We start from the raw sequence: 25,986 nt of genomic DNA, 5'->3' as shown, positions 1-25,986 counted from the left end.
CCCCACTCCAAAGATGAACACCTGAAGTAGGTAGGTGTAGTTGTTGTACAGACAATATAACCTGTCTTCTATAATACTGGAAGGGAAAAAACATATAAGCCATAAAGTAACTCTCCTGATATGTATATGGCCTTCGGGTTTATTCTACTTATGAAACCCACCTTCTTATCAAGTACTGAACCCTCCTAATTTTTCTCATTCCAAATATTACTAAAAATTATAAGCTTGCTCGTTTATTCCTACATGCATTCTCTATTTCACACAAACACACACACACCATATTTATCAAGACAATTCTGACAATCATATATTCTAAACTCCATGCAGGATTCACACTTTCTCAAATAATTGACAAAAACGTGCATTCCTTGAGTTCGTATGTTCCAAAAAGCACTTAGCTCACTGTCTGAACTGGAAATGGCTTAATTACCTTGGGACAAGGGGAAATGGTGGGGTGAGACAGACAGGAAGAGAAAATGAGATCAATTCCTTAAAACAAAACAGTTAGAGCAGGTAGAAACCTTGGAGAAAATCTGATTCAATCCTGTCGCAGTACTAATGAGGAAATTGCTAAACCTTGGAAAGGTTAAATCACCTGCCCAAGGGCATACCACTACCTGGTGACTGAGCCAGGCTTCCTGGCTGCAGTCGTGTGTGTGTGTGTGTGTGTGTGTGTGTGTGTGTGTGTGTGTGTGTGTCTGTGTGTGTCTGTGTGTCTGTGTGTCTGTGTGTTTAACCTCTAAGAGAATCACTGAAAACTTGTGTTAAAAGGAAATTTCAGATACATGCTTCAACAGTCAGTGGTACTTCAAGAGCACCTCAGAGAACCTGAACCAGTCACTCAAATGATAATCTACTCTCACTTTAATAATCTCCCCAGAGAGATTGCCTCTTGCTAGACATTTCTGTATTGATTTAAGGCCAGTTCTACAGATCCTAAAGGAGATGTGCTCAGTTCCTTTTATTGCTCTTTAAAACCTCTTGATTTTCTCAAAGTCTATGAGGAGCTTCTTCCTCTCACTCTCTACCCACCACCACCATTGAATATTTCAAGAAAAAAAACATTTTAAGGTTATTTTTAAATGCCATTCTCCTTTTACATTTCTCCAAATTTCTTGCATTAAGCTGTACTGCTTTTGTAAGCAGGGGAGAAAAGGCAATAAATATTTATTTTTTAATTTCCATTATTCTATGTCATCTGCACATCTCACAATTACTTTAATCATTACTTTAATCATTTAAATCTTCCTTTAAAATTCAAGGCAAAAATTAAGACTTCCCACAAACACACACATGCACGCACACACAAAAAAGCCTTTTTTCTTTTGCTAATTTTTTGTTATTTTGTAGAGATGGGGTCTCTCTACGTTGCCCAGGCTGGTCTCAAACTCCTGGCCTCAAGCAATCCTCCCACCTCAGCCTCCCAAAGTGCTGAGATTACAGGCATGAGCCGCCTCACTAATATTTTCTTTTCTATTGCTATTTTGTTGTGGCTTTCAATTACACATATGACAGAATACCAAGGGTACTGCAAACCTACTGTTCCTTGCATTTATTACTCTCTTGCCTGCTACCATCCACCCAGGGATTAAAGAAGGCAGGGAAGATGGTATGTCATGTTTGTCTCCACCTTGCCAATATTCTATGGACTGTAGCCTTGGGAACAGAACCCCACCTGCCCTTTAATTCCCTCAATACCAAGTCTTCATTGTCAATTCACTTAGCACCTAGGGCATAAAATATACTTTGTGAAGTATATCAGAATACCAAAGACATATAGCTCTGCAAGTACACAGGTTGACTGCAGGGTCCATTCCCTCTAGTTAAAGAAAGGAATTTTCCGTCTCTTTACTTCCCCAGGACTGGTAGTACTTGTCTCATCTCTGTGGTCCTATATTTCTCCTGATAAAAGGTTTGGCTCCAGACACCATCACTTGGGTCAGGCCAAACCAGTCTCTAGGCAGCAACACAACACCTGCAAGTGGTTTGATTGTCCTTCTTGCCCAGAAATATTTTGACCTTGTCTATTATTTTTAAAGCCGTTTGTTCTAGTTTACCTTCTCAATCAGCCCTTCTCCAGGATCTGTCTTAGATAACTTGCCACAAAATGTTTTGTTTATTTTTTGACTCCTTCTTTTGTTCACAATGTTTTCCCACAGCAGTCTACTATGGGTTCATAACAAATGAGTCCCCACATTTACATCAAACTACCTCGGCCTAGTCCTTGTCTTCAGGAAGAAGTACATTTACACTCTACAAATCAACAAGAAAAACTCTCAGAATAGGAAGCCTATGAAAAAGCTATCTTTATTTCTCGTTGTGTAAGAGCCCATTTCTAATCCTGACGTACTCCCGTTTTACCAAGTAAGTTGAATTTCTACCTTTTCTTCTACTCTTTCTTATCAGAAATCTTAGTCTCCTTCCCTGATTTTTCTTCATAAACAGCATGTTCGTGTCAGAATTCGGTGGTTAATGAGTGCCAACCACTCACCTGTGCCAAGAAGTGTGGGTGCTCCCAAACCCATTGTTTTACCTTTCAATGAAACAGTTCAGAAATTTCAGAAGCTCATCTGTTTACAATGAGCCTACCTAGTTTCATCTGAAATAAATTCACTGGTATACTTTAGTATATATGTGCTTTATCAGAATTCATCTACTTCATTCTATAGTATGGGTTCTAAATAGTTTTATCCCGTTTAACACTTTAGAAATCTGATTATAGTTTTATTTTTTTAGCTCTCTTTAGAGGAAAGGATAGGAAAACACATCTTAAATTGCACAGCTGCACTCTCTGACTCAAGCTACCTAGCAACTGTCAAAATATAACCCAAACCACAAAGGTGTTTGAAGCTGCATGTGAAAGCTTATTCTAAGACAGATACTGCCAACTCTTCTACTGTCACATGCAGCTTGGCATTTCAGCACAAATACAATAGGGAGACAGCTTGAGAGCGGGAAAAGTGTTCTGACGGCCTAAAATGTTTCAATATTCTCCTTTGCATTATTCAGAATATAACATAAATGCATAATTAGAGCCAAAGCAATAAATTCCATGAATTACATGAGGGAAAATGTTATTAATTCCAGTTCCTCCAAATTTCAGTTTCAGTGAGTACATGTCCACATAAAAATCCAAATATCTGGGTCTCTTAGGTCAGAGTATTTAATCCTGCTCCTCAAAACTCATGTTTCAGAGTCTGCTTGGAAAAAGAAGGTAAAAATAATTTGCCAACTGCATTGCAAGGAAACTACAGTTACCTTTTTGTATTCCAGAGGTCAAATAAAAGCCATTCTCTCTATGAAAATAAAAACATCTATTGTATGAAAGACCCACTAGAAACTGTTAACAGTATTTGCCTCTGGGGTGCTGAGGATCTGGGGCACTGAGGATCTGGGGCTGACCATTTATTATATGTTCTTTCATATTGTTAAACTTTTTTCCGTGTTCACTTCTTGCTTTTAAAATATGAAACAAACATTAAAAATAAGCTAACTTGAAGGTTGCATAGGTTTAATAATGAGATTACCCCCCCGGGATGAGGAATGGGAACATGTTTATGCTGGTACCTGCAGACAATCACAGGTTTCTACAGTAAACACTCCTCCGTCAAGTGCTTTCTGACCATATTTAAGAAATACAGCTTTTCTCACTGGGACTACTGAGAAAATAAACTGGAGTTCTGTTTTGAGAATTCAAAGTACATACCATTCATGCAAACCAAAGAACACACACTTATTCAAGGACCCAGCCTACTACTTCATAGTTATAAAATGTGGAAAAGAAACCACAAGTCTCATATCAGCAATACAGCTGCACAACTCCTCAAATACTTTTCTAAAGAATTTCCATTGTATATATTAAACCCATAAAACATCCCTGAGGATCTATCATCCATATATGTCTCCACCTTGACAACATTTACTATAAAACCACAATATTTGTGCGACTTCGTTGCTTTCTCACCCTCCTACCCTAAATATTTGCACTACTTTTTCTTGCCTGGGTGAAATTAAGTTTGAAAATAATTATTTTGTAAATTACTGGGCACTCACCCATCACATTACACCCCAATTGTCTTCAGTTCTTTATTCCTTACCATATTTGTCAGCTTCTTGAGGTTTAGGGGACTCTATCCTATTTATACTTACAACCCCAGCACTTACCACAGTAGGTCCTCAATAAATGTGTTTTTAAATCTAAATAAATTCCTCCCCAAAAAGATTCCTAATTTTAACTTTTAAAATATATTTTCCTGGTGATTTGCCTTCTGGTCATCTGAATACTCAGACAGAAACCTAATATTTGCTTCTCTCGTACTACCATTAACATTCCCTCAGGGTTTGGCTAGTTGTTCTCTATACAGAGCCTCCTAAACATAATTTGCCTTTGCGATTATAATGATCTCTATATGAATCATCTCCAAATCTAATTTGCCAGTCCTGATTGTTTTCTCTTATTAGCTCATCTTTTATTTCCTGTACTTATCAAATACTTCCACCAAATGTCATGCAGACACATAATCCTTCAAATGGCTAAAACAAAACACTTCATTTTCTATACAAAGTCCAAAAAACCTGGAAAAAGTGTATATACAGCCTATTTTAGTAGCGTAGTTCCGAACAGTACTTTCAGATTTTTTTCCTCATATTGTATTTTATACCCCTCTTCCTCTCAGAGTAGACTGTTCGACCAGACCCTCGTTCTTTTAATACACCCATTTCACTAAATTTCCTAGTCTGTGGACCCTAATTTCAATTAGTATCAAGTGCACTGGAGAGGAAACCTCACCCTTCTCATTTATTCTTTTGGCTATGGCACTTAGCCTTGGTGATTTTCAAAGGATGGAGAAGAAATGAAGAAGTACATACACACACAGGCATGTTAGAATGTCCCCAGGATGTATGTAGTTATTAACTTAACTCAACATTCTCATCTAATTTACATTTGGGGGGAATCCTTTCTCTACAATATATACTATAGAGAGTGAAGCTTAACAAAATCATCTTGGCTGGAGATACGTAGGAAATATAATCACCTACATATTATGGGGAGGAAAGGTAATCAGAGTTTTAGGATGGAGTGGTAAAGATATATGTTTATCTAAAGGAGGCATGGGCTTAAAAACTACTGAGAAGCACTGCATTGGCATTCTTTTACCTGGAATACGAATTCAAATTCCCAAGAAAAGGCTGACCACGTCCTCATTCCCTCTCCCTCCACACCAGTGAATCTTTTCTTTTCTTGCCAGGCTCCTTTATGCCTTCTTTTTCCATGGCAATGGCTTTCACCACTTCATGGCCAACATTTCTATGCCAATTATCTCGTTTCTCCTACTTCCAAAGTCTAACTCAAATGTCCTATCTTTCTTCCTAGTCTACTTAAGAGAAATACTCTATATTCTTCCCTCCTTACCCCTCTTCAATTACACACACTTAGCATGTGTGTGTAAAATATTTATTTTAGTAGCTAATTGTCAAACTTGTAGAATCTTTGACTTGTCATTTTCCTGAATAAATTGTATGCCGCCCCTCAAAGGTAAGAATTCAGAGCTCTTGTGTCATTTTTTTGCCTTCATCTTGATCTTTTTATCTCACGGATGTTCTACAAATATTAACTGATTCAAATCTGAAAACACAGCCATAAGGCTGAATAACTTGTTAATCTACTAGAACCTATACACACAGCACCAAAACATCACCTATTATCTGCCTTGAGCTGAACTGGATAAGATACTAATATATATAAATAATATGTTGAAGTCTGTCCTCCAATATCCTTGCACTGACAGGAAATCTCCATCTCTCATCTTCCTTCTTCTGAATAAACCATCATTTATAATGTCTAAATGACTTCCTAGGGAAATCGAGATGACCTTTAAATCCAAGAATTCCTTCAGTCATTTCAAGAAATGCCATATATGAAGTTATAAGAACAGAACACAGAGTTTAATCCTACAACAAACTAGTTTTTTTCAGGTAATATTTACTTTAAAAACGTTTCCAAAGGCCTACAATATTGATTCACTGTATTCAAATAGCTAGAATATAATACTAAAATTTTAGAGCTCATATTAGAAATCCTTAGCCACAATTTCCATGAAGAGATTAAAATAATGAAAATGATAAATAAGTTAAATAACACAAAGATCCTTATAATCTTAGACATTTTATACTCAGTTTCTCAACTCCACTTTAAGAGTGACAGTAAGTGTAAAAGAATCATTTAAGATGCAGAATATGGTATATGTACTCAATGGAATACTGAACACCCATAAAAATAAACTATTGCTTCACACAAAAATACAGGTAAATCTCACAAATATTATGTGGAGGGAAAGAGGCCAAACACGAAGATGCATATTATATGACTCATTTATACAAAGCTCAAAAATGGGTCAAACTAACCTACGGGGTCAGAAATTAGGAGAGTGGTCACCTTTAGGATGAGGCAGCAACTGGGAGAAGGTGTGCTCCTTCTGGGGTGCTGACACCATTTTATTTCTTGATCTAGGTGCTGGTTACACAGATGGGTTCACTGTTTTGAAAATCCATCAAATTATCTATTTGAGGTTTGTACCACTTTTCTGTATATATATTTCAAATAAAAGTTTACTTGCCAAAAATAAAAAATAGTAATGTCCATAAGCTTCTTCCTAATGAAAAGTTACTTTACAGAAAATGTGTACTTCTTCAACAAAACCCATGGGTTAATTTCTAATTGCATAAAACTTGATATGTGACAAAATAATAGCACAACCAATACATGTTCCCTCAAAATGAGTAAAATAATTATTAAATATGGTGCCGCACTGCCTGGTAAAAAGATGAAAAACCTGATTCAGAAATCCATGATTAATGTTAGCATTATCTGTGAAACTAGACAAGTCAAAAATGTTCCTTGGTTCTGTTTCAACTATTTGCAATAAGAGTAAGTTTCTATATTCTTCACCAGACCTACTAAAATTGTTCCTTCCCCTTTCAGATCTAGGGAATCTTTCAATTTGGAAGTATGTAAAGTTTTGGGAAGGACAACCAAATGGAAGCAGAGTAGTAGCAGAGCCTGGGATGGATACTTCCTCCATTATCCATCTTGACCTTTAAGTCAAAAGTGAGTTCAGGATACTCCATTTGTGTTCATGCCAACTGTTTGAGATTTTCCTTGTGGATTCTCATCATGCTTCCATTGTGATCAACAAAATTGGATAATTAAGAATTATTTCTACCTTGGAAGAGCTAACAATATAGAAGGAAGAAGAACACATGTACTCATACCCAATAATACCTGTCCTCACACAGGGAATATCTAAAGTGATATGGTAATCTATAAAGAGAAGATATGTGGAATAAAAATATAAGTTTTCTTTTAATTAGTGATTAATCTGAACCTTGAGGGATGTATAGAATCACACATGAAGAATGTAAAGCAGGAGGGGAAAATATGTGGCAAACGCTGGGCAATGCCCCACTAATGCATGGTCCTTCCATCTTCCATACCCATGATGGTCATTACTAGTCGATCATTGCAATCTCTTGCTGACCTGGTTTTGAGCATCAGAATCCTTCTCAACATAGACCTACTCATTGCCACAATGAGCAGAACAGTCATATAAGATGAAATCTATTTGCCATCCCTGGTGTAAGATAAAACACACAGATGAATAAAGAAATATGAGAAAAGTAAACAGTACAGTTTGGCAGGAGAGGCTATAAAGGAGTAACAGAATACAAATATGAAAATTTACATTAAAGCCAGGTCATGGAGTGCTAGAGTGACCTGAATGCATTAACAAATTTGGATTCTTTCCTATTCCTTACTGCCTAGCAAATGAGGCTCAGTGTTAAATATCACTCTGTGCATGTATGTGAAATGAAAAGGTTCTACCTTATAACTTTCTCCATCAAGGGAGAGAAATACAGTTGAGACAGTATACGACAGAGGTTGACAAGGCAGATGTGGCATAAGGACAAGAGATAAGAACAATTTTAGGTGCTGGTAATAGCCTTGTTGATAGAGTTGATTGTGGATCTGAGAAAGGAATCAAGGGAGCTAATGGGTTAGAATATGGGTGTTGAGAAATCAGAAACCACAAAAAAGGTTAAGTACAGGTTCAGTAAGAGTGAGTGAAGAGAAAACAGAATTATGATGAACAGACAAATGAGATAAGAGAGATTCAAAGTTCTCAATTTTGAAGCTGGAACATTAGTTCCCAGAGATTATATGACCCTTTGAGAGACAGTGTTTAGAGGTGCTGATGGGGGATGGCAATTTTGAGGAATAAGATCGTGAATAAGAATAATAAAACTAAAGAGTGTGAGAGAGTCCTGGAGGTCAGTGGAAAACATTAATGTGGATGAGAAAAGTCAGAATGTCAGCTGTCCACCAGCCTCCAGAGAAGAGTAGGGTTCCCAGAGATGGCACTGGAACAAGAGTTTAAAGCTTTAGAAGGAGGCATCAAGGAGAAGTGTGCTCAACCTTTCTCCTCAAAACTGGAATGAGGGGTAGGAGAATAAACAACACTATTGAAAGATCATGTAAGGGGCAGGTAGGCTATGGTTATAGGGAAAGATAGGAGGAATGATAAAGAAAAAGGCAAGAATGTAGGGGAGTTTTGACACAAAATTTAACAGGCATTCCTAATGGGCAATCTTAGATCCTATGAGGCCAAACAAATCTGGACTTACTGAAGGCTTCATTTTTTCCCCCAGCTATTTTTTAAAACATAGGCTAAAACCTTCTGAGCAGTTTTTACCTAGAACAAGAATAGAGAAGGGAAGATCTTCCCTACATGTCTTCAATAAAACTAAGCTAATACATATAGCAATAGACCACTTAATTTCCAATCAATTGCAAGGGTCTCAGTTCTTAAAGGCATCACATCATTTCTGCTTCATTTTTCTTTCTTCAAATCCGCAAGTATTTACAGAACATCAGAAGTTACCTTGACATTTCTTACAAAACTAAACATGTCCTTACCATTTGATTCAGCAATTATACTTCTTGATATTTACCCAAATGAGTTAAAAACTACATTCACACAGAAGCCTACACACAAATGTTTATAGCAGTTTCATGCATAATTGCCAAAACTCAGAAGTAACCAAGATGTCCTTCAATAAGTGAATAAACAAACAAACTGTGGTACATCCATACAATGGAATATTATTCAGTGTCAAAAAGAAATGAGCTATCAAGCCACAAAAAGACATGGAGGAACTTTAAATGCACATTGCTAAGTGAAAGAAGCCAGTATGAAAACACTATACATAGTTGAGTCCAACTATATGACATTCTGAAAAAGGCAAAACTATGGAAACAGTGAAAAGACTAGTGGTTGTCAGGGGTTTGGAAGAGGGTGACAGGCAAAGCACAGGAGATTTTCAGGACGGTGCCACTACTCTGTATGGTGCTATAATGATAGATACATATTATTATACACTTGTCAAAACCCACAGAATGGACAACACAAAGGGTGAACCCTGATTTAAACTATGAATCTCTACCTATGGGTTCATGAAGAAAAAAAATAAAAAATAACTATGGGTCTCAATATATTGATATTGGCTTATCAAAGTAACAAATGTATCACACTAATGCAAGACATTAATTATAGGGGAAACTGCGGTGGGTTGGATATGAGGAGTATATGGGAATTCTCTGTACTTTCTGCTCAAATTTTCTGTAAATCTAAAACTTCTCTAAAAAGTAAAGTTTATGAACTTAAAAAAAAGTTAGCCCTGAAGTGTTGAAGAAATTTAACTACTTTCCAGGACTTTATTTCTGACTTACACCAAATTTTGAAATGTACTTCTATAGTCATAGGTAGCAGCTTTTTCCATGATCTTCCACTAGAAGATTAGTTGCATTCTGTTGTTTACTCACATGGCAAAGAAGTAGGCCATCTCCCTCAACTGATAAAACCAAACAAAGGGGACTATAAAGGAAGCTAGGGTGCTATGGTCCATTCGGCTTCCACGTATGAGGATCATTGGGCCACACATCAGCTTAAGAGTTGCACCCAGATCATGGCATCTGCCCTGCCCTTCCTTACTATGCATTCATTTTAGGAGCATTTATTCCTCCTATTTCTAAAGAAGATTATGCTGAGAGTAGGATTTGCCCTTTCATCAGGACTTATTTGAAATAAAATGGACCAGTTTGAGTCGTGCCAAAATGCCTTACCCACCCTCAGTCTCCCCACAACACACAAAGCGAAGTAGCTTGAAAGGGTGAGCTTCTGATGATGAAATGGAGAAGTTAGTGAACAAGCCTACATAAAAATTCAGGTTTGAAAACACATTTTTTCTCACGTATGTTTTATGTAGGCAGATTTCTAAAACTGACAATATTAAAATTATTTTCTCACCGAGAGGCATGCTATCTGCATTTTAATCAACCGATGAAGTTTTACAAAATCTCTAATGATGAAGTGCCTTCCTGACCAGACAGGGGAAAAGTAAATTGGGTGCAAAAGAGCTTCCATAGAAGGTGAAACAAACTCTTTTTAATTCATCTCAAAGCTTCAAGCTCTGTTTCAGAAATGCTGCCAAGTTTCAGGGTGAAATAAGGAAATTTCCCTTTCCCTCTAGCCAACTATTTCATTTACCCTTCTTAAGATACACTCTTTCCTTAGAAACATAGAATCTTTTATATTTAGAGATGACCTTGCACTTCCTACTATAATACTTGGTAGACAAGAGAATAGTCTTCCACTGCCAGGTTTTAAACAGTTCTTGTAGAGAAGAAAAATAAATTGAGCCAGAGTTACTGCTTACATTTATTTTCCTAGAATTCATCTCTAATGGGTATTTCTAGCTCACTCTCCAAAGATTAAAACCACAAAAGAAATGAAAAGGAAGCTTTAGAACATACTAATGCAGTTTTTAAAAAAGTAATAATAATATATGTGGGTTTGGCTAATGGGAAGCAAAAAATAAAAATCATATATGGATAATTTTGCTGAATAGTCTAATGGTCTTAAAGACTCTCTGGAGATATGAAATATGAAACCTGTTTCTTCTAACAACATTTTACTTGATCATGGACTGCATTCTTGAATTGAATATTAAGGTGGCTTGTTAGAATTATTATTTAGAAGAGGGGTCCCCAATCCCATGGCTACGGACCGGTGTCAGTCTGTGGCCCATCAGAAACTGCACGGCACAGCAGAAGGTGAGCTGCAGGTGAGCAACTGAGCATTAACAACTGAGCTCCACCTCCTGTCAGACCAGTGGCAGCATTAGATTCTCACAGGAGCTCGAATCTTATTGTGAACTGCACATGTGAGGGACCTAGGTTGCATGCCCCTTATGAGAAAATAACTAACGCCTGATGATCTGAAGTGGAAATTTCATCCTGAAACAATCCCCCCTTCCCTTGGAAAAATAGTCTTCCATGCAACCAGTCCCTGATGCTGAAAAGGTTGGGGACTGCTGATTTAGAGCATACATTTGTTTGACATAAACTGATTCCAGACTATTTCTAAAGGTTGTTTTCAAAGATTTTTGTAAAGGTACCCTGTTCAGATTTGACAGGGAGATATCAAATAGCAAAATCTTGTGTTAGTGAAATGTTTTTCTTTTTAAATATTTAGGGTAGTGTTGAGAATAACTGCTTTTCAAAAATAGATGTAAGAAGAAATAATGTGGTATTAAATTCTTCTTTTGTAAAAGTTGACAACGGCATGAAAGATTCAAAAACTGAACAGAGCAGATATATAAGGCAATACTTTTCCATTGAATAGTATTCAACATAAATGCATATGCACCAAAACAGTGTAAAAATTTCACAATTTTACTCATTGTCATATTTCTAAGATAAAGCAGGTTCCTAACAGAATTCTTAACAGTGATCTCTTTAGATAAATCAGAGAGAAAATTACAACTGAACCACTGATTCTACTGTGGGTCAGGATGGTGACCAGCTCTGGCTCATGGGCTTGACACATCCAGGCAGAACTAAGTCAGTTTTTCTGCAAATTCCCATCTCTTCCCCTGTGAAACGGGAAGTGTATCGAGGAGCTCCATTGCCACTCACCCTCTTAAAGTCAAATTTCAATCCTTTGTGATATATGTGTTTATATTTCCTTTGATTAGTGTCTCCAGAATGGTATAGAAATACCTAGCATACATGGAAAGCTATTAAAACTTTTTCAATTCATGATTTTTTTTCTAAAAGAAACTGAAAGCATACCGCATGTTATGTTCTTTGTGATCCAGTACTTTTCAAGTTAAAACATCATTCATTTCCTGAAAAATCCCAGCCTTAGTCTTCTCCAACACTAAAACTGAGGAAATCATAGCTGTCTAAATTTTTCTGCCACTACAGAGTAAAACTGAGATATTACTAAGAAAAGCATTTAGAACTCTTATGATTCATTAGTTGGTTAAGTGTTTTTCTTTGGAGAAGCTAAATGCTCTTCGAAAGCAGAATTACATGGGCCCTCCCATCTAAGTGAGGAAAGCATAAGGCAGTTTATAACACTCGACCTCTTGACATAGCCAAAGGGAAACTGAAACTCTAAAAGATGATTAGCTAGCATCACTAGAAATAACAGAACTCAAACAAACTGAGCTCCCAGGCGAGAGCTTCCTGAGAAACATGCCGCTCCCTTCAAGCCGAGAGCAAATGCTAGATATTTTCATCTTTAGCTTAACCTATCAATTTCAGCTGCTGAGGAAAGAAACTTTATACACCACATACAAATTTTAGAATGTAAAAATTATTAAACACACAGCTGAATTCAATATAGGAATGACTATTTGTTCTTTGAAAAAAAAATCACAGTTTATAGCAATCTTTGAAAAATGTAATTGGAAAAAAGGAGCCCCCAATTTCAAACAAATGCTGCTGTTTCGCTTCCCTGGTGATGCTAAATTGCATAATATTCTAACTGGATGCATATCTTCTTCTACTTTCAATATGCACCAAATGATTCCTATGATAATTAAGGATTAACATAGCTTTTGTAATAAAATCCCAAAATTTTTCCAGAAACCTAATTTTAGTTAACAATTTTACACACTAACTTTGTGCACTGAAACCAATCCACTCACTTAGTTGATTCAGTGGGTCACCCGCCAGTCATAACTAGATGCCTTTCTACAGGCCTGGCCCAATCCCGGCTCTCCATCCTTCATCCTTCAGTTCCCATCCTTAGCTTAGCCAAGTTGGATTTTTGATATCTATCTTCTCTGGAGAAAGTGGTGAAGATATATGACCTGAAGTCAGCTGATCTTGAGGCGCAATTCTAACATACTCCTGATGTCCTTCTTCCTTTAAGAAGCCACTGATTTCAAGAAAACGGCTAAGCAGACAGAGACCACAGAAAGAGGTAGCAACTGAAAACTATTGTCAAACTTGATTATTTTGTAGAATATTTAAAATATACTTACTATTTAGGGAGCAAAGTTTACAAATTGTACCAACATCTGCTTTTATCATTAATGCATATAAAACCCTTTATGTTGGATAGCATGCCAGTCTTTTGTCCTGAGATCCAGAGTCTCATTTAAATTAGGATATCCCATCTTCACCTCAAAGCCTAACTCGTCATTAGTCTCACAAACCCCATGACTCTGACCTTCTGAACCGCAACCTTAAACTTTAATGCACAAGTGGCCTCCCTTTCCAAGGAGACTCTAAATTCTTTCAGGGAAGAAATCATGATTTAGATTTTTTTTAATCTCTCACAAAAACTGATACTTAATACTTGACAGAATCTGCTCAATAAAGCCAGGCACAGTGGCTCATACCTATAATCCCAGCACTTTGGGAGGCCAAGGCAGGAGGATCACTTGAGTTTAGGAGTTCAACACCAGCCCGGGCAACACAGCAAGACTTCCATCTCAACAAAAACAACTTTAAAAAAATAAGCTATCTGTGGTAGACTGTGCCTGTAGGAGGATCCCTTAAGCTTAGGCAGTCCAGGCAACAGTGAGCCATGATCATGTCACTGCACTCCAGCCTGAGCAACAGAGAACCCATCTCTAAAAAAAGAGAAATTGCCCAGTAAATATTTTTCAATCAATACATTGGAAATAGTAAAATATGTAACTTAACAATATAGGAATTTCATTAATTTGCATAACTTGATTATTTGGGTAGTTTAAATACTCTTTGACTCCTGGAATACAGAAGACCTGTTTTAACAGAGCTAACAAAAATTTAGCAAGCTTAAGTTAAATCTCCTTTTATTTATTCTATATATTCTAAGACGGAAGTGACAGACAGTGAATTGAACAAAAGGTAAGGATTTTTTTTTTTTTTTTTTTTTTTTTTTTTTTGAGACGGAGTCTCGCTCTGTCGCCCAGGCTGGAGTGCAGTGGCGGGATCTCGGCTCACTGCAAGCTCCGCCTCCCGGGTTCACGCCATTCTCCTGCCTCAGCCTCCCAAGTAGCTGGGACTACAGGCGCCCACCACTACGCCCGGCTAATTTTTTGTATTTTTTTAGTAGAGACGGGGTTTCACCGTTTTAGCCGGGATGGTCTGGATCTCCTGACCTCGTGATCCGCCCGCCTCGGCCTCCCAAAGTAAAGGTAAGGATTTTTTACAAACAAAATAATTTTAATAGGAAAATTAGAGGATGATTTAAAAACTGGCCAAAAATAAAATTCATGAGTTAAATCATTACTTTGCTTTCTACTGGCAACAGCCAAAAAAATTTATTTCTATAGATATAGCAAAACATTGTTTAAAACTTCAGTTTATAAAATGCAACGACTTGTGATTTCTACTCTCCAAGGAAAAAAAATTCATTTGTAACATACCATGGACCAACCTGGGAAATAGGTAGATTTGAATTCACAATGACATACTATCATTACACTGTAGTAGTCTCACCGGCTCCTGCAGAAGTCATTAAAAAATTGTCCGACTGAAAAAAATGAGTTAATATTTTAAGAACAAAAATAAAATAAAATAAGAATACTTTGAGAACATTCTATATTTCTAATATCATTTATTAAATGCCTATTATGAGCCTGATGATTTACATACGTTGTCTCATGTAATTCTCACAACATCACAGTAAATTGCTAGTCCCATTTTAGAGGCGAAGAAACAGAGTCTCAGAGAAATCAAACAGTTTGGCCCAGATTACAAACTAAATATGACAGAAAGCGTTTGGCTCCAGTCCAAAATTTTTCCTACCATATCATGCTGCTCCTATTAATAGTGGATATCAAGTTTTGGCACTATTAAACATGGCCTTTGCAAACTCATAGAGACAGAAAGTATAACGATGGTTGCCAGGAATGGGGAGGGGTGGAATATGAGGAGTAATTGGCAGGGTCAGTTTGGGATGACGAAAATGTTATGGACCTGTATACTGGGAATATAACAATGTGAATATACTAAATGTCACAAAACTATCTACTTAAAAATGGTTAAAATGGTAAAAATTTCTGTTATGCACATTTTAACACTATGGTTTTTTTATTATACTTTATGTTCTAGGATACATGAGCAGAATGTGCAGTTTGTTACATAGTTACACACATGCCATGGTGGTTTGCAGCACCCATCAACCCGTCATCTACATTAGGTATTTCTCCTAATGCTATCCCTCTCCTAGGCTCCCACCCCTGACATACCATTGTGTGATGTTCCCCTCCCTGTGTCCATGTGTTCTCATTGTTCAACTCACACTTATGAGTGAGACCATGTGGTGTTTGGTTTTCTGTTCCTGCATTACTTTGCTGAGAATGATGGTTTCCAGCTTCATCCATGTCTCTACAAAGGACATGAACTCATCCTTTTTTATGGCTACATAGTATTCCATGGTATACATGTGCCACATTTTCTTGATCCAGTCTATCATTGATGGACATTTGGGTTAGTTCCACGTCTTTGCTATTGTGAATAGTGCTGCAATAAACATACGTGTGCATGTGTCTTTACAGTAGAATGATTTACAATCCTTTGGGTATATACCCAGTAATGGGATTGCTGGGTCAAATGGTATTTCTGGCTCTAGATCCTTGAGGAATTGCCACACTGTCTTCCACAATGGTTGAACTAATTTACACTCCCACCAACAGTGTACAAGCGTTCCTATTTCTCCATATCCTCTGCAGCATGTGTTGTTTCCTGACTTTTTAATGATCGCCATTCTAACTGGCGTGAGATGGTATCTCATTGTGGTTTTGATTTGCAATTCTTTAATGACCAGTGATGACAGGCTTTTATTCGTATGTTTGTTGGCCACATAAATGTCTTCTTTTGAGAAGTGTCTGTTCATATCTGTCACCCACTTTTTGATGGGGTTGTTTTTTTCTTGTAAATTTGTTTAAGCTCTTTGTAGATTCTGGATATTAGCCCTTTGTCAGATGGCTACATGGCAAAAATTTTCTCCCATTCTGTAGGTTGCCTGTTCACTCTGATGACAGTTTCTTTTGATGTGCAGAAGCTCTTTAGTTTAATTAGATCCCATTTGTCAATTTTGGCTTTTGTTGCCATTGTTTTGGTGTTTTAGTCATGAAGTCTGTGCCCATGCCCATGTCCTAAATGGTATTGCCTAGGTTTTTTATGGTTTTAGGTATTATGTTTAACTCTTTAATCCATCTTGAGTTAAATTTTGCATAAGGTTTAAGGAAGGGGTCCAGTTTCAGTTTTCTGCATATGGCGAGCCAGTTTTCCCAACACCATTTATTAAATAGGGAATCTTACCCCACTGCTTGTTTTTGTCAGGTTTGTCAAAGATCAGATGGCTGTAGATGTGTGGCATTATTTCTGAGGCCTCTGTTCTGTTCCACTGATCTATATATCTGTTTTGGTACCAGTACCATGCTGTTTTGGTTACTGTGGCCTTGTAGTACAGTTTGAAGTCAGGTAGCATGATGCCTCCAGCTTTGTTCTTTTTGCTGGGGATTGTCTTGGCTATACCAGCTCTTTTTTGGTTCCATATGAAATTTGAACCAGTTTTTTCTAATTCTGTGAAGAAAGTCAATGGTAACTTGATAGGAATAGCACTGAATCTATAAATTACTTTGGGCAGTATGGCCATTTTCACTATATTGATTCTTCCTATCCATGAGCATGGAATGTTTTTCCACTTGTTTGTGTCCTCTCTTATTTCCTTGTAGTCCTCCTTGAAGAGGTCCTTCACATCCCTTGTAAGTTGTATTCCTGTGTATTTTATTCTTTTTGTAGCAGTTGTGAATGGGAGTTCACTCATGATTTGGCTCTCTGTTTGTCTATTATTGGTGTATGGGAATGCTTGTGATTTTTTGCACATTGATTTTGTATCCGTAGACTGCTGAGGTTGCTTAGCAGGTTAAGGAGATCCTGGGCAGAGAAGATGGGGTTTTCTAAATATACAATCATGCCATCTGCAAACAGAGACAACTTGATGTCCTGTCTTTCTATTTGAATATCTTTATTTATTTCTCTTGCCTGATTGCCCTGGCCAGAACTTCCTATGTTGAATAGGAGTGGTGAGAGAGGGCATCCTTGTCTTGTGCCGATTTTCAGATGGAATGCTTACAGCTTTTACCCATTCAGTATGATATTGGCTATGGGTTTGTCATAAATAGCTCGTACTATTTTGAGATATGTTCCATCAATACCTACCTTATTGAGAGTTTTTAGCCTGAAGCTGCCTCCCGGGCTCAAGTGATTCTCTGCCTCAGCCTCCTGAGTAGCTGGGATTCCAGGCACATGTCACCATGCCTAGCTAATTTTTGTATCCTTATTAAGGACAAGGTTTCACTCCTGACCTCATGATCTGCCGGCCTTGGCCTCCCAAAGTGCTGGGATCACAGGCGTGAGCCACCGCACCTGGCCAAATTTTATCGAAGGCCTTTTCTGCATCTATTGAGATAATCATGTGTTTTTTGTCATTGATTCTGTTTATGTGATGGATTACATTTATTGATTTGTGTATGTTGAACCAGCCTTGCATCCCAAGGATGAAGCTGACTTGATTGTGGTGGATAAGCTTTTTGATGTGCTGCTGGATTTGGTTTGCCAGTATTTTATTGAGGATTTTCGCATTGATGTTCATCAGGTATACTGGCCTGAAATTTTCTTTTATTGTTTTGTCTCTGCCAGGTTTTGGTATCAGGATGTTGCTGGCCTCATAAAATGAGTTAGGGAGGAGTCCCTCTTTTTCTATTGTTTGGAATAGTTTCAGAAGGAATGGTACCAACTCCTCTTTGTATCTCTGGTAGAATTTGGCTGTGAATCTGTCTGGTGCTAGGCTTTTTTTGGTTGGTAGGTTATTAATTACTGCCTCAATTTCAGAACTTATTGGTCTATTCAGGAATTTGACTTCTTCCTGGTTTAGTCTTGGAAGGGTGTATGTGTTCAGGAATTTACGTATTTCTTCTAGAATTTCTAGTTTATTTGCGTAGAGGTGTTTATAGTATTCTCTTATGGTAGTTCGTATTTCTGTGGGATCGGTGGTGATCTCCCCTTTACCATTTTTTATTGTGTCTATTTGATTCTTCTCTCTTTTCTTCTTTATTAGTCTGGCTAGCCATCTATCTATTTTGTTAATCTTTTCAAAAAAACAGTTCTTGGATTCATTGATTTTTTGAAGGGTTTTTTGTGGCTCTATCTCCTTCAGTTCTGCTCTGATCTTAGTTTTTCTTGTCTTCTGCTAGTTTTCAAATTTGTTTGATCTTGCTTCTCTAGTTCTTTTAATCGTGATGCTGGGGTGTCGATTTTAGATCTTCCCCACTTTCTCCTGTGAGCATTTAGTGCTATAAGTTTCCCTCTAAACACTGCTTTAGCTGTGTCCCAGCGATTCTGGTACATTGTGTCTTTGTTCTCATTGGTTTCAAAGAACTTATTTATTTCTGCCTTAATTTTGTTATTTACCCAGTAGTCATTCAGGTTGTTCAGTTTCCATGTAGTGCGGTTCTGAGTTTCTTAATCATGAGTTCTAATTTGATTGCACTGTGGTCTGCGTGACTGTTTCTTATTATTTCCGTTCTTTAGCATTTTCTCAGGAGTTTTATTTCCAATTATGTGGGCAAATTTAGAATAAGTGCTATGTGGTGCTGAGAAGAATGTATATTCTGTTGATTTGGGGTGGAGAGTTCTGTAGATGTCTATTAGGGCTGCTTGGTCCAGAGCTGAGTTCAAGTCCTGAATATATTTGTTAATTTTCTGTCTCGTTGATCTGTTGAATATGGACAGTGGGGTGTTAAAGTCTCCTACTATTATTGTGTGGGAGTCTAAGTCTCTGTGTAGGTCTCTAAGAACCTGCTTTATGAATCTGGGTGCTCCTGTATTGGGTGCATATATATTTAGGATAGTTAGCTCTTCTTGTTGCATTGATCCCTTTACCATTATATAATGCCCTTCTTTGTCTTTTTTGATCCTTGTTGGTTTAAAGTCTGTTTTATCAGAGACTAGGATTGCCACCCCTGCTTTTTTTTTCCTTTCCATTTGGTTGGTAAATATTCCTCCATCTCTTTATTTTGAGCTTATGTGCGTCTTTGCATGTGAGATGGGTCTCCTGAATACAGCACACTGATGGGTCTTGACTGATGGGTCCAATTTGCCAATCTGTGTCTTTTAATTGGGGTATTTAGGCCATTTAAATTTAAAGTTAATATTGTTTTGTGTGAAATTGATCCTGTCATTATGATGCTAGCTGGTTATTTTGCCCATTAGTTGATGCAGTTTCCTTATAGTGTCAATGGTCTTTACAACTTGGCATGTTTTTGCAGTGGCTGGTACTGGTTTTTCCTTTCCGTATTTACTGCTTCCTTCAGGAGCTCTAGTAAGGCAGGCCTGGTGGTGACAAAGTCTCTCAGCATTTGCTTGTCTGTAAAGGATTTTATTTCTCCTTCATTTATGAAGCTTAGTTTGGCTGGATATGAAATTCTGGGTTGAAAATTCTTTAAGAATGTTGAATATCAGCCCTCACTCTCTTCTGGCTTGCATGGTTTCTGCAGAGAGATCCTCTGTTAGTCTGATGGGCTTCCCTTTGTGGGTAACCCGATCTTTCTCTCTATCTGCCCTTAACATTTTTTCCTTCATTTCAACCTTGGTGAATCTGATGATTATGTGTCTTGGGGTTGCTCTTCTCGAGGTGTATCTTTGTGGTATTCTCTGTATTTCATGAATTTGAATGTTGGCCTGTCTTGCTAGGTTGGGGAAGTTCTCCTGGATAATATCCTGAAAAGTGTTTTCCAACTTGGTTCCATCCTCCCCATCTCTTTCAGGTACACCAATCAAATATAGGTTTGGCCTTTTCACATAGTCCCATATTTCTTGGAGGCTTTGTTCATTCCTTTTCATTCTTTTTTCTCTAATTTTGTCTTCACACTTTATTTAGTTAAGTCGATCTGCAATCTCTGATATCCTTTCTTCTGCTTGATCGATTCGGCTAGTGATACTTTTGTATGTTTCACGAAGTTCTCGTGCTGTCTTTTTCAGCTCCATCAGTTCATTTATGTTCTTCTCTAAACTGGTTATTCTAGTTAGCAATCCCTCTAACCTTTTTTCAAGGTTCCTAGCTTCCTTCCATTGGGTTAGAACATGCTCCTTTAGCTTGAAGGAGTTTGTTATTACCCACCTTCTGAAGCTTACTTCTGTGAATTCGTCAAACTCATTCTCCATCCAGTTTTGTTCCCTTGCTGGCCAGGAGTTGTGATCCTTTGGAGGAGAAGGGGCATTCTGGTTTTTGGAATTTTCAGCTAAGTCATTTTAACCATTCTCAAAAGCATATTTTTAACTAATGGGGCTTACGATGTGATGTTTTCATCTTTATATTTAAGAGGTTCCAGTTTCAAGGTATTTTGTGACTGTTAGATTTCATTTATTTATACTTGTAAATGAGTAAATGTAGATCATGAATTATTACAAGATTTCATATGTAATCCCTGCCTAATTATTAATGAGGGCTAAGTCATAAAAGGCAACCACTGTCACTCATGGGAAAAAATATGTCCCATAGCATGCAAAGAGCACTGGATGACTGATGGCTACAGCAGAAGAGACCAAGGCCAGCCAAGCTAAAGAAACAACCAGAGCAATGTGCCACTCCAAACTATGGCTGCTTCCCAGTTGCATAGCACAAACACAGTAATTCAGCCTTAACAAGAAAATGAAAGGCAAATCACTATTAATCATAAAGCAAACAAAAACATTTGGTGAAACTAATGAATACTACTTATAATAGAACAGCAAAAATCTACATGTTTTTTGAAAATTCTCATCAAAAATGCCTCTTTTAAAAAGAAGAAAATTAATTTATTAAATAAGTTAATTTCTTAACATAAAATTTAAAAATGGATTTTAATAATTTTAACGATGCATAAATTCAACATAATACAGTATGAAATAGTGTGTAATGTTGCAATTGAATTACTTTTAATTTCACAAACACCAATATGAGAGGTGGTGATAGGGCACGGCTCTTAAAGCTAGCTCTCTAAGTTCACGTACTAGCTTCAAATATGATTTACTAGCTGGGTAACCAAGATATTCTTTATTTGATTCTGGAGGAACTTAGGGAAGAAATTCTGTTTCATTAGAAAAATCTGTTTCTTTACTATTACCTATAGTCTACCCAATCACATACAGCTAGGGTTGCCAGATTTAACAAATAAAAACACAGGATGCTCACTTAAATTTGAATTTTAAATAAACAATAAATAATTTTGCCTAAATTGTACTAAAAACTTATGTACTGTTTATCTGGAATGCAAATTTGACTGCATGCCTTGCATTTTGTCTGGCAACCACCTACAGCAACTCTGCTAATACTATACTTACTATTTTTCATTATTTTTAGTGAGCACACCATAACAATAGTGTCATAAATCATGCTTTGTGCTATATGGCATGTAATTACACAATCAGCTGGCAGCCTGTGTAAAGAACTGCAATGGATTCAAGAGGATTCCTAACTTTTGAGTTAAAGTGGTAACCATTTATGGAATTGTTTTAAGACAGTTAAAGACATTCTGTTTCAATCTGTTCTTGATATGTTTCCTAAGGGGACATAACAGCTTTTAGTATTTGCTTTTACCCAAATGGCAATGACTGGAATATTCGATTATGGATTTATGTATACAATTATAAAATTGATCTCAGCAATCAAGTTTCTGCCCACATAAGCATATTTCACATCACTATATGGATACTTTTACAAAATTTCCTTTGACATTGCAAAGGTATAAGTTTTAAAAGATTTGTTCTAAACTTCAAAATTAGCATTATTGAATATTTTTTCAAAAGCCACACTTGATTGTTAAATTATAATAATCCAAGCATAAGAATTTTTAAATCCTATGTTAAATAACAATTCTGTAATCTAATATAGATATATGAATTAGCAAAAAATCAAAACTTTGACTACAATTTAAAATCACAAAGACATTAAATAAAATGTTTTGTGCTTTTTACTGTTAGTAAAACAAGTTTTGAACTCAAAGGTAATTTTGATCATCAAAACGTCTCAATAATATAAGTTTTCTATGTGGCATTTATACTATTTCAAAGCAATTTGACAACAGTTATCCCGTGAACCAACCAACCTCTTGCAAATGGTTTTATCAAATAAAACATAATTAATATAAACACCAGTGAAATACTGATATTTACAAAAGATCTATTTACTCCAAACTAATGAAAATGAATCTTCCAACCCAAATTATAAAAAGAAAAAGAAAAACTATAATAACAAACTTTTTTCTATTCATCTCTAAAACATGACCTAAATGATTCAATCTCAAGTTATCAACAGTATTTGTAATACTAGACAATAAAAAGTTAGCAAAATGATATTTTATTTCATGTCTTATAAAAAACATATTTGCTAATCTGTGAGAGTAATAGAAACATAGACTCTTGACCATGTTAAGATAAAGATCAGTAAGCTAAAACAGAAAACAGTTACATTCCCTGTGAGTCATCATATTCCATTGACTAAAAATCACAATTTAAGGAAATTCTGTAGCCAACTGAACACTTAACAACAGTGCTATGACCATTTGGGGGACTTTGGAAAACAATGTAAATCTTGAAGAGCGAATATCTGGCAACTTTTCTAAACTAGATCATAATCTCAGGAAATGATAAATTTAAGATCCAACAGAGTACTTTTTTAATGCTACACTGAATTATTTTTCAAAACCAACCCAAAAATACGTTTTTCAAAAGTTGAATGGATTTATTTTTTAACCTTTATCATGATATCCACTTTGTTGACAACACCTAGATTATATCCTCTTGTCGACTCTGAGCTTCTCTCTCTTCCAATCTCCCTTGTTTAATGCTCCTAAAAACATTTTTCCCAGCTGTGCCAGTTTCGAAGAAAGCACATTTAGAAAAATAAGAATAGCCAACATATATTGAGCAACTATGAGCAGGGCACTATGCCTATATATATATATACACATATATATTTATATGCATATATACACACAGTGTCATCTCATAAACTGGAATGTGAGAAGTAGGAAGTGGTAGGAATTGGAACTGGAAGAAAAAGCGGGCTCCACATTGCACTGGGCCTCCTGACCCACGTAAAGGGATTTGCACATTATTCCTAGGACAATGAGAAGTCATCAAAAACTTTTAAGGAAGAAAATGATGCAGTTGGATTTGCCATTTAGAAATAATACTCTAGCTACTACTCTGGAGAATTAATCAGGCAAAAGAAAATGGCTGGAGGCAGAACTACCATGTGGGAAGATGCCACAATGATACAGGCCAAGCTAGTGGCCTGAACTAGTGTAGCAGTGAGAACTATTTAGTAGGTAGACCCAAGAAAACATGGTGATACATTGGATATGATAGAAGAGGGGAAAAAGGAGACAAAGATGACATCCAGATTGCTAGCAAGGGCAACTGAGGATAGTGGTGCTATTCATGAGATGAAAAACGAGAAGGAAAAATCTAGGAACTTGGAAATATCCAGCAAACAGATATCCAGGCCTAGGTATATTCACTCATTCAATAAACATTTTTAAGCACCTGGCTTGGAGCTCAGCTCTATACTATACTTCTGTTACAGCACCTATATTCTATTTGGGCTTACAGTTTTAATACATTGGGTATTGTGCATGTCTGCCTCACCTTCGAATCTCTATATTGCAAATATAGTCTTGTCATGAATGCTAGAAGCATCAATGAACAGATGAATGAACGAATCGGTCATTAAAAGTAACTTTGCCAAATGTATTATAGTGTAAAAAGAATTGATTAGCATTGCCAAAAAGGCTGTTAGTAGAGTTAAATTTCAATGGCCTTGGATCCACAACAGAGATATTAAGCATACATTTAAAGATTTAACATAAAACATTAAATAGTAAGAGAAAAGGTCCACATTCTTCCTCATCTTCACATATAAATCAATTATATATCAACTCAATTTTCAATATTTGAAGGAAAGAGTCAAAATCTATCAGAATTAAGAAATTCCTTTATATATAATCACCTAAAGAACATTGTTTTCATTTTAGTTGTATCTCACAGGATGAAGCGTAGGTAGATGATAGGCCACCCATGCCAGATGTGGTCCATATTCACAAACATTCACTTATGCTATTGTGAACGAGGTATCTCAAGATAGCAGATGGGTAGTCTGACTAAATACATGTCATACATGGTTTGATTAAGAGATAGCGGCAGCCGATAGGACTGCTTCTCATACACCAGTCCACTGCTGTTGTGAGGCTCAGTGAAAAGCCTCCGAGAAGGAAATACTGGCAGGTACAACTGCTAGGAAAGTATATAGACCCTGTCGTAAAATTATGTAGTGAATTACCGACTTTTCATTAGTAGCCAATGGACAGTGTCTTTATTAGAGGAACTGCTAGATAAATGGATTGTCAAGTCCATTTTTTTAGGCACAGCCTAAAATATTTCTAAAATATATAACAGATATATTGCATTATTCACCTGCAAGCCTTATGGCAAACTTGTGGGATAGGCATTAAAATTCCCATTTTACCAATGAAGAAACTGAGGCTCAGGAAAAATTTTATGATCACACAGTTAGAAAGTAGCAAAAATGAGATTCCAGGATCCCAGATCAAATTCTCAAATCTGTGTCCTCTTACCTGCCCACGCTGTCTCTCAAAGACTTAAGTTCCTGTTAAGGAAAGCGAACCTAGCAATGGTAGACTACATTAACTCAGGGCAAGATTCCCTTAAGGAAGGTAGAAGAGAATGAGTTGTCTTGGTTTAGTTTGGGTGAGAGATGGGAGATAAATCAAGTACATGCTTAGCACTTAGTAGGAGCTACAGAAGATGCAAGAAAAGTCTAAAATGTGGTCCCTTTCTTCATGGAATTGGTAGGAGACACTGTAATTTCCCACTGTTTATAGGATAGTTTCTAACTTATATCATCCTTGTGAAAATCAAGGTTATAGCTGATTAGCTAAAAGAATACTGCCTATGCCTTCTACTGAAAGAGCTTGTAGCCTTAAAACTTCCAGGAACACTGGCTCCATTTTACTGTGGTACTAGGACTGGGTCCAGTGTCATACAGCAGCTGAATTTCAGAGTGAATCCATGATTGGCTTGCACAAAGATTACAGCCAAAATTCCAATTCTTTCAGAATGCTTTCATAAAGAAAGCTATGTTTAAATCTAATAGGTATAAAGAAAGAAGCAGAAAAATGTTATATTCATTATATCCTCCTCCACCCACTGACTTGTGTCTTACCCACGAGAACCTGGCAGGTGACAAACACCTAAGGCAAAAAACCAGAGACACCTCTGATTTTCAGCATGCTTGGTCAAAAAACCTGCAGAAAAAAAAGGCAATATTGCTTCCTTAACCAAATTATTACTTATAATAAAATGAGTAATAGCTGCCAATTTTATGGTTCACCCCTTTCCTTAATTTTAAGGTTTTATTTTAAGACCAGTCATTACTTATTTAAGGCCCCTGCCTTTACAGAGCATCGTTTTGGACCACAAAACTGAACAGCTCGAAAGAGTTCTGGCTTTTAAGGAATTTACAGTCTAACAAGAAAGACAGACTCATAAACAAACAAGCTGAATATCTGAGTAGGAGT

At 36.7% G+C, this 25,986-nt stretch overlaps 1 protein-coding gene across 2 annotated transcripts in view, besides 1 other annotated feature; it reads right to left on the bottom strand.

Annotated features, from left to right (window-relative positions):
- Positions 1-25,986, bottom strand: part of PLCL1 (phospholipase C like 1 (inactive)) — a 345,271-nt gene that overhangs the window by 299,134 nt on the left and 20,151 nt on the right. The gene's annotated exons all lie outside the window — the stretch shown is intronic.
- Positions 2,148-3,460: an enhancer, noted in NCBI's record as "amplified fragment containing the chr2:198711994-198713304 (GRCh37) CAGE-defined region". NCBI's record gives its function as "transcribed enhancer in T cells {active_cell/tissue: T cell}" and the evidence as "EXISTENCE:reporter gene assay evidence [ECO:0000049][PMID:24670763]".

This window comes from Homo sapiens, chromosome 2, assembly GCF_000001405.40.
Source record: "Homo sapiens chromosome 2, GRCh38.p14 Primary Assembly".
In the NCBI taxonomy this organism is placed as follows: Eukaryota; Metazoa; Chordata; class Mammalia; order Primates; family Hominidae; genus Homo; species Homo sapiens.
Note: the sequence above shows the minus strand (reverse complement) of the source record. Positions and strands in the feature narration are given on the sequence as shown.